The sequence below is a fragment of the Homo sapiens genome, chromosome 14 (assembly GCF_000001405.40).
Source record: "Homo sapiens chromosome 14, GRCh38.p14 Primary Assembly".
Lineage (NCBI taxonomy): Eukaryota > Metazoa > Chordata > Mammalia > Primates > Hominidae > Homo > Homo sapiens.
In genome coordinates this window covers 20,881,503-20,898,138 of record NC_000014.9, presented here as the reverse complement: position 1 = coordinate 20,898,138, position 16,636 = coordinate 20,881,503, and the positions used below count along the sequence as shown (strand labels likewise).

General features: G+C 42.0%; 1 protein-coding gene and 1 long non-coding RNA gene across 2 annotated transcripts in view; one reads left to right on the top strand and one right to left on the bottom strand.

Moving 5' to 3' along the window:
- Positions 1–16,636, top strand: part of LOC100507513 (uncharacterized) — a 66,589-nt gene that overhangs the window by 38,685 nt on the left and 11,268 nt on the right. The gene's annotated exons all lie outside the window — the stretch shown is intronic.
- RNASE3 (ribonuclease A family member 3) lies at positions 5,791–6,754 on the bottom strand. The gene is made up of 2 exons (NM_002935.3): positions 6,688–6,754; positions 5,791–6,457 (listed from the first exon to the last, which is right to left on the bottom strand). The coding sequence occupies exon 2, from the start codon at positions 6,450–6,452 to the stop codon at positions 5,970–5,972; it is 483 nt and encodes a 160-aa protein (NP_002926.2). The 5' UTR covers positions 6,453–6,457; positions 6,688–6,754; the 3' UTR covers positions 5,791–5,969.

Below are 16,636 nucleotides of genomic sequence, written 5' to 3'. Positions count from 1 at the left end.
GCTGTGGGTGAAAACAGTAAATACTTCCAGTTGCCCGTGTGTGTCACTTAACCGAGGAATCCTGGGAAAGTAAAAGTTGTCACCACAAAATAGCTACTGTAGTGGAAGAACGTCTCTGTCATTTTCTGTAATGAAAAATCTGGTAACATCTGCACACTCAGATTCAGAGTTATTGGGTTAGACTCTAGTCCTTAATACCAGAAAGGGTGAACTTAATACCTATTTTTATATGTGGAGGAAGAACATGGGCAGTGGGAAGGGTAACTGACTTTTTTCATTTTCATTTTGAGTCTCTTTGTCTTTGAGATAACTACTTATTACCAAAGGATTTTGGCAAATTTTTCTCTCATTTGTAAAAAAGCAAATAAAGAATCCTTTCTTTCTCATTATTAGCTGTGGCCTGGTTCTTGGCTCCACTCCAGGTGAACGTGATGTCACAGAAGAAAATGAATCTCCGGCGAATTGAGAAGTGCACTGACCTGGTGAATGTATGTGGGTTCTGGCTGGTGGTGCCATTTTGGTAACATCTACTGGTGCACCTTGGAAACCATAGGTCATCATGATGGTGAATTTTATATTTCAAGTTGCCTGGGCCTGTGGGTGCCCAGATTAATAATTAATTAAATAATTAATGATTTCTGGGTGTGTCTGAGAGGGTGTTTCTATAAGACTAGCAGCTGAATTGGTTGATTAAGTAAAGTAGTTTGCATTGCTAGTCTGGATGGGGATCATCCAATCTGTTAAGGGCCAGAATAGAATGAAAAGTGGAGAAAGGAGGAATTCATCATTTTTCTTGCCTCACTTCCTAAGCTAGGACATCTTGTGTCATCGTTCCCACACTTGGGTTGACATCTATGTCATCGGCTCCCTTGTTTTTCAGGCGTTAGGACTTGAACCGAATTATACCACTGGCTTTTCTGGGTCTGCCAGCTTGCAGAAAGCAGATTGTGGGACTTCACCGACTCCATAATTGCCTGAGCCAATTTCTCATGATAAATCCTTCTGTATCTATATTTCTGTCTGTCTCTTTCTACCTACATCTGCAATGTTTCTCTTGATGACTCTGACTAATACAGTCATATTTTCTAAATCAGTGGAGATGTGTGATAAGCATGTAATGTACTCAGTTTCCCAGATATTCATTTGGGTAACCTGGCTGGCCCTATATGCTAAATTATCTCAGATCACCCAGTTTTACATCCATAATATCTTTGAAACAATGAGAATTTTGAAGTAGTCAATTGATCTTCTTTTGAAATCATTGTAGATCAGACGTGAGACAAAAGTGACAACTCTGTCATAAGTCTAATGCATTTTAATAAAGAAAAACATTTATTAACCAAAATCCAGTTTTAGTTTAGAAACAAGTCTGTTTTTCATAGGTAATTTGAAATAGGAATGTAGACAGAATTTCTATGCTCCTATCCCTACTAATTGCCTCACTTCCTTATGTAATCAGAGTGGAAACACAGCTCATAAAATGAGAGTATCATCTGGGCTCAGTGGTGTGTATTTATAGACCCAACTACTGGGCTGGCTAAGGCAAAAACATTGCTTGAGTCCACAACTTCAAATCCATCCTGGGCCACATAGGGAGACCTCATCTCTAAAAATGAACTAAGAGGCTGGGTGCGACAGCTCAGGTCTGTAATCCTCGTAATTTGGGAGGCCGAGTAGGGCAGATCACCTGAGGTCAGGAGTTTGAGACCAGCCTGGCCAACATGGTGAAACCCCGTCTCTACTAATAATACAAAAATTAGCTGGGCATGGCAGTGCATGCCTGTAGTCCCAGCTACTCGGGAGGCTGAGGCAGGAGAATCGCTTGAACCTGGGAGACAGAGGCTGCAGTGAGCCGAAATTGCACCTCTGCACTCCAGCCTGGGAAAATAAATAAATAAATAAATAAATAAATAAATAAATAAATAAAAATGAACCAAGAAACAAAAAGTCATTATCAGGCAAAATTGATTACAATGTTTAGCCTAAACCCCTCTCCTCTTCTCTCTTCTGCCCTGAAAATGGGTCCTTCTTTCCCTTTTGGAAAGTCAATTCATGGACATCTTGAAAGACAAAGCCTATCGTTTTCTCATTAAAATGCTTGATCTACTTGGATATCCTTGAACATTGCAGGCTACTTTGCTGGTGGGGTCTCATATTCATGAATCCCAAGTGTAGTCATAATCTCTGCAAGAATATCTTTCCAAGGTTGATGATTTGTCTCCTTGACCTTCCATTCAACCCCCACCTAAAGACATCTGCCCTGATATGTACCCAATTATTAAAAAGTGAAATAAAATGAAAGCAATAGCATTGTGAATTAACCTTCCTTCTGTGCTGGACTTTACAGAATATGTTAGAGCTGGTAGCTGAAAAAACCAGGGCTTGTTTCCCTGGTGAGTAACAAAGACTCTCTATGAGAATGTACATTTTGATAAATAAGTTTTGTTACTTGGTTCAAGTAAGAAGCCCACTGGGAGTATTCTCCAAAGCAGTGTCTTCCTGATGGAAAGTGAGAAGAACATTCTATGTGGTGATGGAGAGGGCAGAGGGTGTATCATCACTTGTAGAGGAGGAGTCCCAGTTGCCCATACACAGTGAGTGATTCTGCCAGCACATAGTTCACATGTTATGGTAATGAGCCTCCTCCTTGGGTGGAGACTTTAGCATGATAATGAGGAATGTTCATGCCAGTTTGTCTGTAAGTTGCTGGGTTATGCCAGGAGCTGGTTCCCACCAGCAAGCTTGTAAAACAGGCTGATTGCTCAAGTTGATTAAATTCTTACAATTCCTGGAGACCCTCCCTGCCGGCTTACAGAACAATTAACGGCATTTACTCCTGCAAGACTTCCTGAAGATTTGATATTAAGAGAATTTTATAAAATCAGACATGGGAGGTTCAAGGAAAAGAAGTGGACTCCAAGGATCACGTCTTTGGAACATGCGGATGTGACCACTTAACTTCTCTAATGGTAGTCTCTGTGGTGCTGGCCTTGGGTCCAGGGCAATCAGAAAATCTTGGATGTCTACTGCAGAAGGGGCAGTGAGTCCAGCCAGGGTTTCCTGATGGTCAAGCACAGAATCCTCCTTGGTCTTGTTTGAATCGTCTCACGTCCTGGGAGAGGGGAGCTGCCTCTGACCTCAGCCCAGTCATCAGCATGGGGATGGCAGGAAGATGATGTGGAAGGCATGGAGGGGCTGGAGAGAGGCCATGGCAACAGGGAGGGGAATAGCATGGGGCTGCACCATGAGAGGATGATGGTGAGATTCACTGAGATTGGAAGACTCTTGTTTCCCTCTCCCTCAACTTGTGGTCCTTCATTGGGGCCTTGCTTCCACTCTTGTCTCCCAAATAGTTGTGTTTTGCACAGCAGCTGGACAGATCTTTAGGCAATGTTATTCTTGCATGTAACATGCTCGATTTGTGCCCCATGAGGAACTTACTTTATTCTTCCATCTTCACAGGCATGAAGGGTCTGAACCTCATTAACTCCTATCATTAACACTCATGGCTATGATGATCTTGTCCTGACCAAACAACTTTTGTGCTTCTAACACGCCAAACCTCTATCCATTCAGGACCATTTTTTAAAACTGAAAATGTTTTATTACATTAAGGAATAAATACATACAAAGATGCGAATAATGGTAGTCATTCTCCTTCAGATGTTTTAATCAACTTATCGTAAACACAGAACGAAAAGTCTTCTTACAGCCTTGGTATTTGTCAGGACTTTTGAACTCTCTTTCTCTTTGCTGGGATGATTCTCCATCTGGTGTCTGCATGACTGGCTGCTTTTCCTCCTGTTCAGATTTCATTCTCTGAGATAAGTCTTTCCTGGTGACACTCTGCCCTGTCACTTTTGTGGCACATACAGAACCTCTATATTGTGCTGCTCTGTGTAATTTTCTGTGTACTATGCTGTGTATTTTTCCTCCTGACACTTAGCAAAATTTTGTATGCTTAGAACAATTTTGTATGTTTATTTTTATCCTTGTATAATGTGGCCTCAAAAGAGCAGGGACCTGTCTTGGTTTGTGTTGCATCATCACTCCCTCAAACTGTGCCTGGAGCAAGGTATCTGCTCAGTAGATGACTGCTGGATGAATGAATGAACGAAGGAATGAATGACGAGAGAGGATGAAGTCACAAGGTGGAGAGGGTGTGGGGGCAGGTGGGGACTGATCCCTCTATCCTGTGGTTTTAGAGATGAGGCATCCCCGACTGAGAAGAGACCTGTGATCTGGTACCTGAAGCAAGGAAGGTCCACTCCATCTTTCTTCACAGGAAACGTGGCTCCAGCTTTCAGAGTCCCACCTTCTCCTTCTGCTACTCTGAGGTTATGGGAAGACTGCACTCACTTCCTGACATGCCCTGTTTTACCTAGAGTCAGTGGATTCTGTTGAGCACTGAGATTTCCCAAACTCAGTGTCTCTGTGCAAACTTTTAAGTTCACAGCCCGACCTTGGAGAAGCAAGATCTCAATAGCTTCTCCAGAGGAGAGACTTCAATACAGCTGCTGTCTGATGCCAATTAAAGCACCATTACTGACATGGAGTCATCTGAGGAATGGAAATTGCTGTTTCTCAGGGTCTGGAAGAGGAGGAGAAATATAGAAGTCAGAAATCTCAGACTGAAGGACCAAGGTGCAGATCTGATGGCATCGTACCTCTCTTGCATTCTGAGTCGGGCCATTCAAAAAGACCCACTCTGTTCCTGGAACAATCACTTGAATGCTGCACCTGTCCACAACTTGCAGGAAGGGGCTTCCCCTTTTTCTCCCCTGTTTCTCATGGATTCCTGAGTGAAGCCCTGTGTTGGAGTCCAGGGCAGCGGCTCTCATCATCCATTTCTTCTCTCTCTGGGTCTACAAATCCTGAATTCTCGAGGCTGTGCCCTTCCTGACAGGTGTTGAATGAACCTTTGACTCGCCATTGGGAACATCTATGGAGGGCAGAATGGGCAGGAGCCAACTCACCTTCATGAGTGCTCCCACTTCCTCCTCCTCCTCCTCCCCCTTCTCCTTCCCACGTGACCAGCGGCTCCCCATCTCCAGGACATGGAACTTTTGGGAAAGATGTCCACCTCTCCTCCAGTCAGCATTACAATCTGTCCTTACTGCTGTCGGAACAATTTATCTTATTGCACATTTGACTCAAACCCTGGTTCCACCTCTATTACGATTGCTAATAGCTGGAGACTTGATGTGCCCATTTAAAAGAAATATCCCTGAGGCTAAACTTTTCTTTATCTTGGTTTCACCTTATTTATAGCATTCTTGACTTTTTCTACTTTCTTCTTTTCTATTTTCTATCATAACGTTCAATTCTATCAAAATTTATCATTCATAAATCATAATGAAGCACGTGCATTTTCAGCTGATTCACTGCAGCTCTTTTTTTCTTGGGATAGAAATCATGTCAATAAAAACCATAGTCGGACCATAAAGCATCAAATGGGACCTCAATATCAAATTGGGCTCAATTCTGGAATACAACTAAAACAAGTGGAGATCTATACACAAGTTATAGGTTGGTGTTGGGGGAGGAGTCAGTGGATGGAAAATTGCTTAGAGGAGATATTAAGGCTAGGGAGACCAATGCTAAGTTGACTCAATTGGATTTTTTTTTAAGGCAGGCCTGGAATCAGGTATCACATGAAGGATGATGGGGGAATTAAGGAATTTGGTCAGATATTGAGGGGGAGAGATTCATGATAAACCCAAATCTCTAGAGCAGATTGTCACTAAATGACAGCAGAGCGGCCGAGGAAGACACACAGACACTTCCAGATGAATTTGCAAAGCAGTTTATTGCAGGGTTCACAAGGGACTTCAGCTCAGGAAAGCTGAAGGGGTATGGAGACTGATGAGGACAGTTGCTGATACCCAGAGTACATGGAGGGATGGGATCTTGGCTATGATTGAGGAGCTTGGCAGATGAGTGATGATGAGGACTGCTGATACAGGAGCTTAGATGGTGGTATCCAGGTGAACTGGAACCACAGGATACCGTGGAGAATCCCGTGGATCTCTGTTGTCACATGCAACTACATAGAACCTCCTTCCTGGTCTGTCTGCATACGTGCAGTTTGAAATATTCTGTGCACCTGGATTTATGAGGTCACAGTGGAGTAAAGGCACCCGGAATCTACTCCGATGACAATTGTTGAGAGTTCTGTTATGAGGGCAGCGTATACTTTGGTTACCACAAACATTAACTACATTAGCAAAAGTTGTACGAAGAAAAGTATTTTGGTTTTTGCAACGCCATCGATAATTGTTAATTGCCCGCATTGCAATGGTGCATCGAGGGGGGTTCAGACTGATGTGCTGGATGGCAAACCACTGAGCCCTCGTAAACTGTGGGGGTCTGGCATGGAGTGAGCCCTCCACACCCATAAGCCCCAACAGAAGAAGCAGACAAATTTGGGAAGTGAACAGTTTTGGAACCATGTTTCCTGTAAGAAAAGAAGAGAAGTAACTACTCCCCGATCCGGTCTCGGTTATGACACACTCTATAGTGTCTCAACCCACAGGCCCCTCTGCTGCCACTCTGGGGTCGCATTTCCTTTTCTTCCTGTCCCCAAAGTGTGCCACATCTCCTAAGCACTAACTTCAGCTCACCTCTCCCTCAGGTGCTGCCCTGTCGCTGCCCCTCCTGTCCCAGCTCTGGGGATTGTTGACTTACCCAGTCTCTGAGCTGTGGCTCCTGTGAGAACTGATCCAGCTGGTTGTTCTGGGGTTCAGGGGCAGCTGGTCTCCCCTACTTGGAACTGTTTAAATAAAGCTTCCCTTGGTGGGTCTGGCCATGCAGAAACCCACAGATTGACACATGGTCCACTTGTGCAATCATCCTTTTTATTTGATGACTTGGCTGAGCAACGGATACCCAAGGACAGCCCTGCTGCTCTTTCTGCTATACGGACTCTAATTCCAAGTCATCCTGTGTTAGACAGAGTTTTGCCGGTGGGATCTGGACTCTGGGTGAAAACTATACGCTGCCGGCAGAATGACCACAGATTTTATAACTGTCCTCTGGCAGGCCCCTAAATGACTAAATGACACGAAGGCAGGCATAGTAGTTAGGAGAAATAGAGCCACAGAGGGCTGTTTGCCCAGGAGAAACCCAGCTTCCCTTCCATTTTTAGTAATATCCTTGGTTCTCTCTCACATAAATGCTCTCCATCTCATCCACCACTCTTGCTGGAAACTTGAGCTATTAATTTCTTGGGGCACAAGATTCTGTAGATAATTAAAACAATCTGCTCCATACAATTGAGGAATTTTTTTCTTTACTCCTCTTGCATTGGATCCACTTTCTCTTAAGTCTTGCCCTGATTATTGATTCCACTTTGTGTAAAGTTACATAACCTAAAAACACACCGAGGACAGTTGTAAAATCTGGCAGAGGATGAATGAACATTTGGTGTCATGAAAGATTCCAACCTAGCACTCGGTATTCCTGTGATCTTTTCAGCCTATGGTATTTTCTACAAAACAGTGTGTTCTGGGGTTGTCATTCATCTTCCTGGTAAGTTTCATTTTGTGATATTAACAAGAATATGGTTCTGTATTTACAAATGAACATTTAAGGACAGAGCACTGTATTCCTGAAAGTATAGAGGTCAAGTGTACAGTTTGATACACAAAGCATACATTTATTCTTGGCCCTCAGAGAAACACAGGAAAGTACTTGTAGACATATAATTGTATTACAGTGTGATAGAGGTAATAGCATTTGTGTGAACATGGTGTCATAGGGACACTGCTGGTGAAGGAAATCACTTGGCTTGAGAAATAAGGAAAACTTCAAAAAAAAGTTTATTTCAGCAGGTCCTAAAGGATAAGCAGGGGATTTTCAGGGGATTTAGAGAAGAGATGAGCATTCTGGGCACAGGGGATGATGTGGGGAAATTGTACAGAGGTGAGAAGTGAATTGCAAAGGTAAGGCCTGGGTACTAACAGATGTTAAATCTGGTCTAGCTTTGAGATTAGAAAATGGAAAGTAGACCCTTAAATGATATAATATACCTTCCAACAGTTAATCTGCCTAATTTTTACTACCGTCCAATTTTCCTGTCATTTAGAAATGCAATAATTTTATCACTGGGGTCCTTAGGTAAATGTGGACACAATGGTGACCTGGTGAGGACTCAATGCGCAGCTAATATTGCTCTGCCTTGAAGTCCTGTTCTGGCCGACATTCATTAGCAGCTTTATCATGAGGCAAGTTTATTTTTTCATGTATATTGTGTGGAGATCATTTTTGTAGGTGATGAGAATGTAAAGGTGAATGATACGTAGAGTATCCCCTCTGTGATGCTGACAGCCACACTGGCTAGAAACATTTGCACTTAAGTGTCTATAGTATGAGGCAAAAGACATAGACTGCAGCCCCAGGGCAGGTACTTGGCTAAACAGTGCTTCTTTTCAGCATACACAGTGCTATTTATGATGTTTGGTTTGGAAGATAAAGTTTGACATTGGAATAGTTCACTAAAAGTTTTCATTACTGTCTTATCTTTAAAAATCACATGATGGTGGTTGGTGCACCATTGGTGTTGTATCAATTAGAGCTGAGTAACAGCTGCGTCTGTGGAAGGGGCTCTAGCTCAGGGCTGTTCTCTGACTCCACTCTCCCTCCTGACTTTTATCCTATCTGTTCAGTGATGACACCTGCCTGGCTCCTGAAGACATCTGTGCTTATGACATATCAGACTTATTGAAGTGTCTTAAGCAGACCATAACCTGCCCAATTTGCAACCATATTCATCCTTTAAAATTGTGGAGTTTTTTGTTTTTTGTTTTTTTTTGAGACGGAGTCTTGCTCTTGTCACCCAGGCTGGACTGCAGTGGCGTGATCTCACTGCAACCTCCACCTCCGCCTCCCAAGTTCAAGTGATTCTCCTGCCTCAGCCTCCTGAGTAGCTGGGATTACAGGCGCTCGACACAATGCCCGCCTAATTTTTGTATTTTTAGTAGAGACGGGGTTTCACCATGTTGGCCAGGCTGGTCTCAAACTCCTGACCTCAGGTAATGCGCCCACCTCGGCCTTCCAAAGTGATGGGATTACAAGTATGAGCCACTGCTCCCAGCCATAAAAATTGCATTCAGAACATGCTCATAAGGTTTTTCTGATTGTCCCTTGTGTAGATTTCCTGCGTACATTTCCAACTACCTTCATTTGCCAGCAGAAGTAGTACAAATGATCTACTTTGATATTTATGACCTTTGAGAGAAGATGTTTTATATGAAGCAGGAATAAAGTATAAGTCAACATTAAAGAAAATTATCTGTTATGATCTCTGTAATCGAAACAAAATTCTCTGTAACTTCAGCATGATTTTGTCTTGAACAGACACAAGGCACTTCACCCGGGCTCTTTATTTTATTAGCATAACTTGTCTTGCAGCCTAATTTAACGACACATTTTCAGACCTGATCCACACTTCCAATGAGAGGAATAGTCAGAATTACGCCCTAGTGTTAAGTCATTTTTTGGAAACCGATGAACATTGTAAAATATTATCCCAGACAAAGACTTCTGCATTTGTGGTAAAAACCACTGTTGAGTACACTGCATTGATCAATGTCTTTTTTGCATAGCATTTATGTGCAAAAATATAATGTTCAATGCTTGCAATTTCTTCAGCCCCAGGGTACCCTTGCAATATTTGCTCTTAACCTGCTGACAGGGAGGTACCAAACCATCGATACCTTCCTGCACACAGATTTCCCTAATGCAGCAGTGGCTATCTATGGGAAAGACAATGCACACTATTTACTAGGTTGGTGCAAAAGTAATTGCGATTTTTGCCATTAAAAGTAATACAAGATTGTCATAATAATATGGTGCAGGTTAATTAAATTGCAGCAAATGGAGTAATATTTTACTTACCTAAGTTCTAAAGATAGTTGGTGTACTGAGCTCTTCCTGGTCTCTTGAACCTCAGAAAGGTGGCCCTAGGCCTTCCTTCTTGTGTGGGTCCTCCTGCATGTCTCCTCTGAAAACCATTGAATAAGTAGATCTGACACCTTTGATCAAGTTTCTGGCATGAAAGAGGAAAGGACTAAGCCTTTCTTCTTTTTCCTCAACTATAAGAAGTTCTTTCCCTATCTGGAAAGGGAAGAAATGGAAACAGAGCTCAGGTGGAATTATGGAGAGGTGTGTCTTAGGAGGGATGAAAGAAAGGGTGTTTCCTAGGAAACTGGAAAATTGCATTCATGTACCATTGCATATTTTAAAAATATTTCTTTTTTTTTCTTTTTTTTTTTTGAGATGAAATCTCACTCTATCTCCCAGGCTGGAGTGCAGTGGCGCGATCTCGGCTCACTTCTAATTCCGCCTCTTGGGTTCAAAGGATTCTCCTTTCTCAGCCTCCCGAGCAGCTGGGACTACTGGTGTGCACCACCACACCCAGCTAATTTTTGTATTTTTGTAGAGACAGGGTTTCACCAAGTTGGCCAGTCTGGTCTTGAACTCCTGACCTCAGGTGATTTGCATGCCTCGACCTCCAAAATAATTGGATTATAGGCATAAGCCACTGCACCTGGCCTTATTTCTGTTTATTGATACAGAATAGGGGTACATATTTTCAGGGTACATGTGATAATTTAATACATTCGTATAATATGTAAAGATCACATCAGGGAAATTGGGATAACCATTACCTTAAATATTTGCTGCTTCTTTACGTTAGAAACATTCAAATTATTCTCTTCTAGCTATTTTGAAGTGCACAGTAGATTATCACTAACTATAATCGTCCTCCTGATCTATCAAACACCAGGTCTTATTTTTTATATCATTTCTTATATTTGTACCCATTAAGCCACCTCTCTTTATCCCCATTGCATTTTGAGCATATAGATGCATTTGCTGAGATTTCAGAGCTCACAGGAAATGAATTATTATATAGGTTAGTGTCTCTGTAAATGAAGTTGTCATATGAGTTTTGTGTCACAGTGATGTCAGGTATAGATTATGTATAGTCTTGTCCAGATACCAGCTCTGACTTTTTCTTTTTCTTTTTCTTTTTTTGAGACGGAGTCTCGCTCCGTTGCCCAGGCTGGAGTGCAGTGGCGCAATCTCGCTCGCTGCAAACTCCACCTCCCGGGTTCATGCCATTCTCCTGCCTCAGCCTCCTGAGTAGCTGGGACTATAGGCGCCCGCCACCGCGCCCGGCTAATTTTTTGTATTTTTAGTAGGGACGTGGTTTCACCGTGTTAGCCAGGATGGTCTCGATCTCCTGACCTCGTGATCTGCCCGCCTCGGCCTCCCAAAGTGCTGGGATTACAGGCGTGAGCCACTGCGCTCGGCCAGCTCTTGACTTTTTCCATTTGAGACTCTTACTGTAAGAGTTGTCCAGGGCCAGGCACGGTGACTCATACCTGTAATCCCAGCACTTTGGGAGGCAGAGGCGGAGGGATCACTTTAGGTGAGGAGTTTGAGGCCAGCCTGGCCAACATGGCAAAAACCCATCTCTACCAAAAACACAAAAATTAGCCAGGCATTGTGGTGTGCACCTGTAATCCCAGCTATTCAGGAGGCTGAAGTAGGAGGATTGCTTGAACCCGGGAGTCAGAGGCTGCAGTGAGCCGATATCACACCACTGCCCTCCAGCCTGGGATACAGAGCAAGACTCCGTCTCAAAAAAAAAAAAAAAAAAAAAAAAAAAAAGAACTGGACGGTTATTCATTCTCTCTATGCCTCTGTTTCATAATCTGTAAAATACAACAACACATACATTGGTTTGTAGGGGAAATTTAATGTGGTAATTTGTGTGTGTGTGCACGAAATAAGGAAACATGTAGCATAAAATATTGCAAAAGGAAAAAGAAATCTTGATAAGGACAATCAGTCTTAAGCATCAAAGTGTTAGTGTAGTATCCGTTACTGCACTATCCCCTCTGTGGTGTTTGCAATAATAGAGTATGCTTGTTTCCTTTCCTTACTCCCCAGAGTGAAGGCATTAGAACTAGAAATCAGGGTTTTGTCTGTTTTTGACCAAGTGCTTCTTAGGTGGACAGCAAGTCATTTTGATAGGACCTCTGTTTCTCAGGGACCCTTACACAAACTGAGATAGAATAAATCACCTTTTAACATCTTGCATTTACTTGTGAAGTCAGAACAAAGGGAAATAGATCATCATAAAAATTATATCTTCTGTCAATTTGGTGGTAAATTTAAGGAACTGCCTTAGCAGATAATTAGAGCACCTTTTCATGATAAAAGTATAGTACCTGCATGATTTAGTCTCTGTTTTGTACAGAATTTGATGAATTTGACCAAATCATTGACCTTGAGCTTCATTTTTTTTTCGACTGTCCTTGGATCCTTTATTCTTCTGTGAAAATATTTTCCAAGGTAGAATTGTTTAATTTACAGCCATAGATGAAACTGAACACAAAATTATGAAATATGTACAACAGGTGGAAAGTGAAGTGACTGATGTTAGAAAGTACACGTAAATAGTAAAAATTGTTCACTGTTATGTGTTTCTTTTAATGGGAGTGAATAATTAACACATTAGTCCATAATGTTATCTATATTATTGCTTAGGACCATGTTGTATAAATGCAAGAGTGAATAAAACAGATAATATTAGTCAATAGTACAAATGGAATGGGGGCATGGTCCAGGGATGCCTGATGTCTGGGAAACCCTGAGATAGAGAGTCGGGCTTGCCGAAGTCAATAGCCTACTTGCCTACATTTCTCAATTTGTGAGCGTTCATTTATTTCTCACCTATAGTCACTATGACTGATATTTTTTAGTAAATGGTACCTTTTCTTCAAAGGGATTCTTGGTCTCTTACCCTGTCAAGACATGCTCTTCCTTTGAAACCCGGATATTTTCCTTCATGGAGCATCATCCCTTACTCCATCTCTTTGAATCTCCTATTTGGCTCACATCCTTCCCTTAAGAGGAACAAGCTTGGTTGTCCATCTAAAGTAATGGACTTAAAAAAAGATTAGAGTTTCACTTCACAAACTCTGCTATTCACCAACACGGGACCTCAAACAAGGCACTTATCTTCTCTTTTCTACCAGGGAAATGTTAACATTCTTTGTTTCTTATATCACAAATACACAAACCTAGTAAGTCTGGTGGTGGGACACCCTGCATCCTGAGCACAGGTGAAAGTCTACGGTGTCTCTAAAATAGTAGAAGCGAGGGTTACCTACAAGACAGTCCTTTTGTGAGCCTTAATAAAAATGCCTTGAATGAAATGGCTACCCCCATGTGGTGCTGGGTTCCTTCTTTTTTCCAATGCTTAGTGAAAAATTACAATGTATGTAAATGTTCAGTGATGCTGAGATTTTCTTGGCTAGATAGCACCTGCCAAACAAAGCTTCCTCTTGGATGTAATGAGTTTTGGGCCCCCTGGTCACCTATTAGACTGGAGGTAGGTGAAGGGAAGGGAGATAACCAAGAAGAGGAACTACTACATTATTGTTTGTTTACTGAGAGTTATCTCCCAGGCTATTAACCAGTCCTCTAATCTAGATCTCAGGGGCTTGAGCTCATCCCATAGTATTTGCGCTAATGTTTTCTCTTGCTCCATTAAATGACAGTTCTAAATGACAGGACCTCATATCTTCTCTACAATAAGATAGATTACAAGCGTGTTTTTTTTGCATAGTTTAAAAATAATGATGTAATCTGTATATAATAATTTTATTTCAGATAATTATGCCTGTTTCTGCCTAAATTCATAATGATTTAGGAAAATCAGATATACATAGACAAACAATACAAAAATATCAACCAAATTTCCTTTACATTTTTTCCTACACACACACACGCGCGCGCACACACACACACACACACACACATGCATACACACATACCTATGCTCCAGAGTATCGGATTTCTAAATAGTCTGAGCTGGAAGGAACTCCTAAAGACATTTATACCAACCCCTCACTTTCCAGCTGAGGAAGAGTAATGGTAGAGTGATCTGTTAAGCACACTAAAAAAAATAATGATAGAACTGAGTATTAGAAAATATCTTTTTGTGGCTGGGCGCAGTGGCTCATGCCTGTAATCTCAGCACTTTCAGAGGCCGAGGTAGGTGTTCACTTGAGGTCAAGAGTTTGAGACCAGCCTGGCCAACATATTGAAACCCTTCCCTACTAATAATACAAAAATTAGCCGGGCATGGTGGTGGGTGCCTGTAATCCCAGCTACTCGAGAGGCTGAGGCACGAGAATTGCTTGAACTCGGGAGGTGGAGGTTGCAGTGAGCCGAGATCGCGCCCTTGGACTCCAGCCTGGGTGATAAAGAGAGACTCAGTCTCATAAAAAAAAAAAAAAAAAAAGAAAAAGAAAAAAAAAGAAAATATATTTTTGCTTTGAGAATTATATTAGTACTATGTGTATTCTATTAGTACAATTCAAAACTGAGATGGGTCAGGAGATGCAGTGTTTAGCAAGATGAATAGAGTTAGCAATTTTGTATTGCACATTTGAAATTTACTAAAAGGATAGACCACAAGTGTTCTCACCACGAAAAAAAAGAAAAAGAAAAGAAAATGGTAACTATGTGAGATGACAGATATGTCAATTAGCTTGATTGTGATGATTATCTCACAGTGCTTTTGTATATCAAAACATGAAGTTGTAAAACTTAAATATATACAAGTTTTATTTGTAAATTATACCTCAATTAAAGCTGTAAAAAATGAGATGAGTGTGTCTGTAATCTCTCTAAACTTCCAAGAAAACCTGCAGGGCCAGAGTAGTGAAATGGGAAGGAAGAAAAGAGAGAGGGGCTGGGCATGGTGGCTCACCCCTGTAATCCCAGCACTTTGGGAGGCCAAGGTGAGTGGATCAGTTGAGGTCAGGAGTTTGATACTAGCCTGGTCAGCATGGTGAAATCCCATCTGTACTAAAAATACAAAAATTAGCTGAGCATGATGGCAGATGCCTGTAATCCCAGCTACTCGGGAGGCTGAGGCAGGAGAATCGCCTGAACCCGGAAGGTGGAGGTTGCAGTGACCCAAGATCACGCCAGTGCACTCTAGCCTGGGCAAGAGGACGAGACTCCGTGTCAAAAAAAAAAAAAAGAAAGAAAAGAAAAGAGAGTGATACGGAGATGAATGTGTAAGAGGGAAGGAGGATGTGGTAAAGTGAATAGCTCAGATGGGTCCTTAGAGGAGCGAAGAGAGATGGAGACAAATGCGAGAAGTACTGAGGTCTGGGGTATGCTTAAGAGGAGAACAATATCTCCGGGCATTGAGACACCAATGCCCTACTCTCCTTCTCCTTATTCCCTCCACTGAGATGAAAACGTGACACAGATGTGGACCCTCTTCCTGTTCACCTCCAGGACAAGATTTTCTTTCTCTAGATCCAGTAATGTGGATATCTCTTCAATGAATTCCCCAGACTCTTCCACCCCATCAACAGTGGTCATGAGGGAAGCTTTGCACTTGGAGTAAGACATTTCTCCCCAACAGGCTTAACTTTCCGTGAAGTAGCCTCCAGAACCAAGGTCTCTCTGACCTTCTCCTGTCTTCCAGTCTCTTGCTCCCCTCTCCCCAAATCACCCATAAAATCTAGAAATATTACTCTAGTCTTCCCTCTGCCATTCTGTGTAGGAGCTGGCCATAAAGAAATTACCTGACCTACCTTGTCTGATAGTAGGTCATAAGACTGATTCCAGAGGGGGTCTTGCTGTATAGCTGGGAGGGAGAATTCCTATACAGAGAGTCCAAGAAAAATCTAAACAGACAGGCCGTGCTGGGTTCCTCCCTCAGCCTATTACTATCAACTCATACCCTTTTTGTCCAATTACATTGCTACATGGCTGTCCATCCTTCACTGAACCTGAGCATAAATCTAGACAGTTTTGCCTGGGTCTTTGGGTCTTCATTCTGAAGGTTTCTGAGTCACATAAAACTTTAAGTAAATTTGTTATGCTTTTCTCTTGTTAACCTGTCTTTTGCTATAGGAGTGTCAGACCCTTATGAGGGGAGAGGAGAGATATCATACTTTTTCTACCTCTACACTTTTAATATCATTAATTTTCTAACAATGCCCAAATCTTCAGTACACCTCTCTCTCCTGAACCCTATACTTGTACAGCAACTTTCTATGTGACATTTCTTCTTAAATGTCTAATAAGTATATCAAACCTAGCATGTCCCCAGGAAACACTGATCATCTTTTCCTACTCTTCCCCCGAAGTTGTTCCTCCCTCAGTATTCCTCATCTCAAGAGAAGGTAAGTCCATTTTCTCTAATTGTTGAATAACCTTCTTTTCTCGTATATCCCACATCCAACCTGTCAGAGAAGTCTTTTTCTGCCTTCAAATCACACACAGAATCTGGCCACTTCTCATGGCCTTCACTGCTACCACCGTTCTGAGCCACCATCACCTTTCACTAGAATTACTGGAAAAGCATTCTCATTGGCCTTCCTGCTTCCACCACTGATAGCCCAAGCAGCTAGAGGGTCCTTTTAAAACATAAGTCAGATCATGAAACTCTACTCAAAATCTTTTAGTGCTTCTTCATTTCACCCTGAGTAAAATGAAATCCTTATAAAATCTCATGTGCTCTTACATGATCCATATTCCCAAACCATTTGCTTTTCAAAACTAATCTCCTACTCTTCTCCTTCCCACTCAA

Bases quoted from the DNA above. Each gene is read 5' to 3' on its own strand.
- RNASE3 (NM_002935.3), bottom strand. From the start codon at position 6,452: ATGGTTCCAAAACTGTTCACTTCCCAAATTTGTCTGCTTCTTCTGTTG.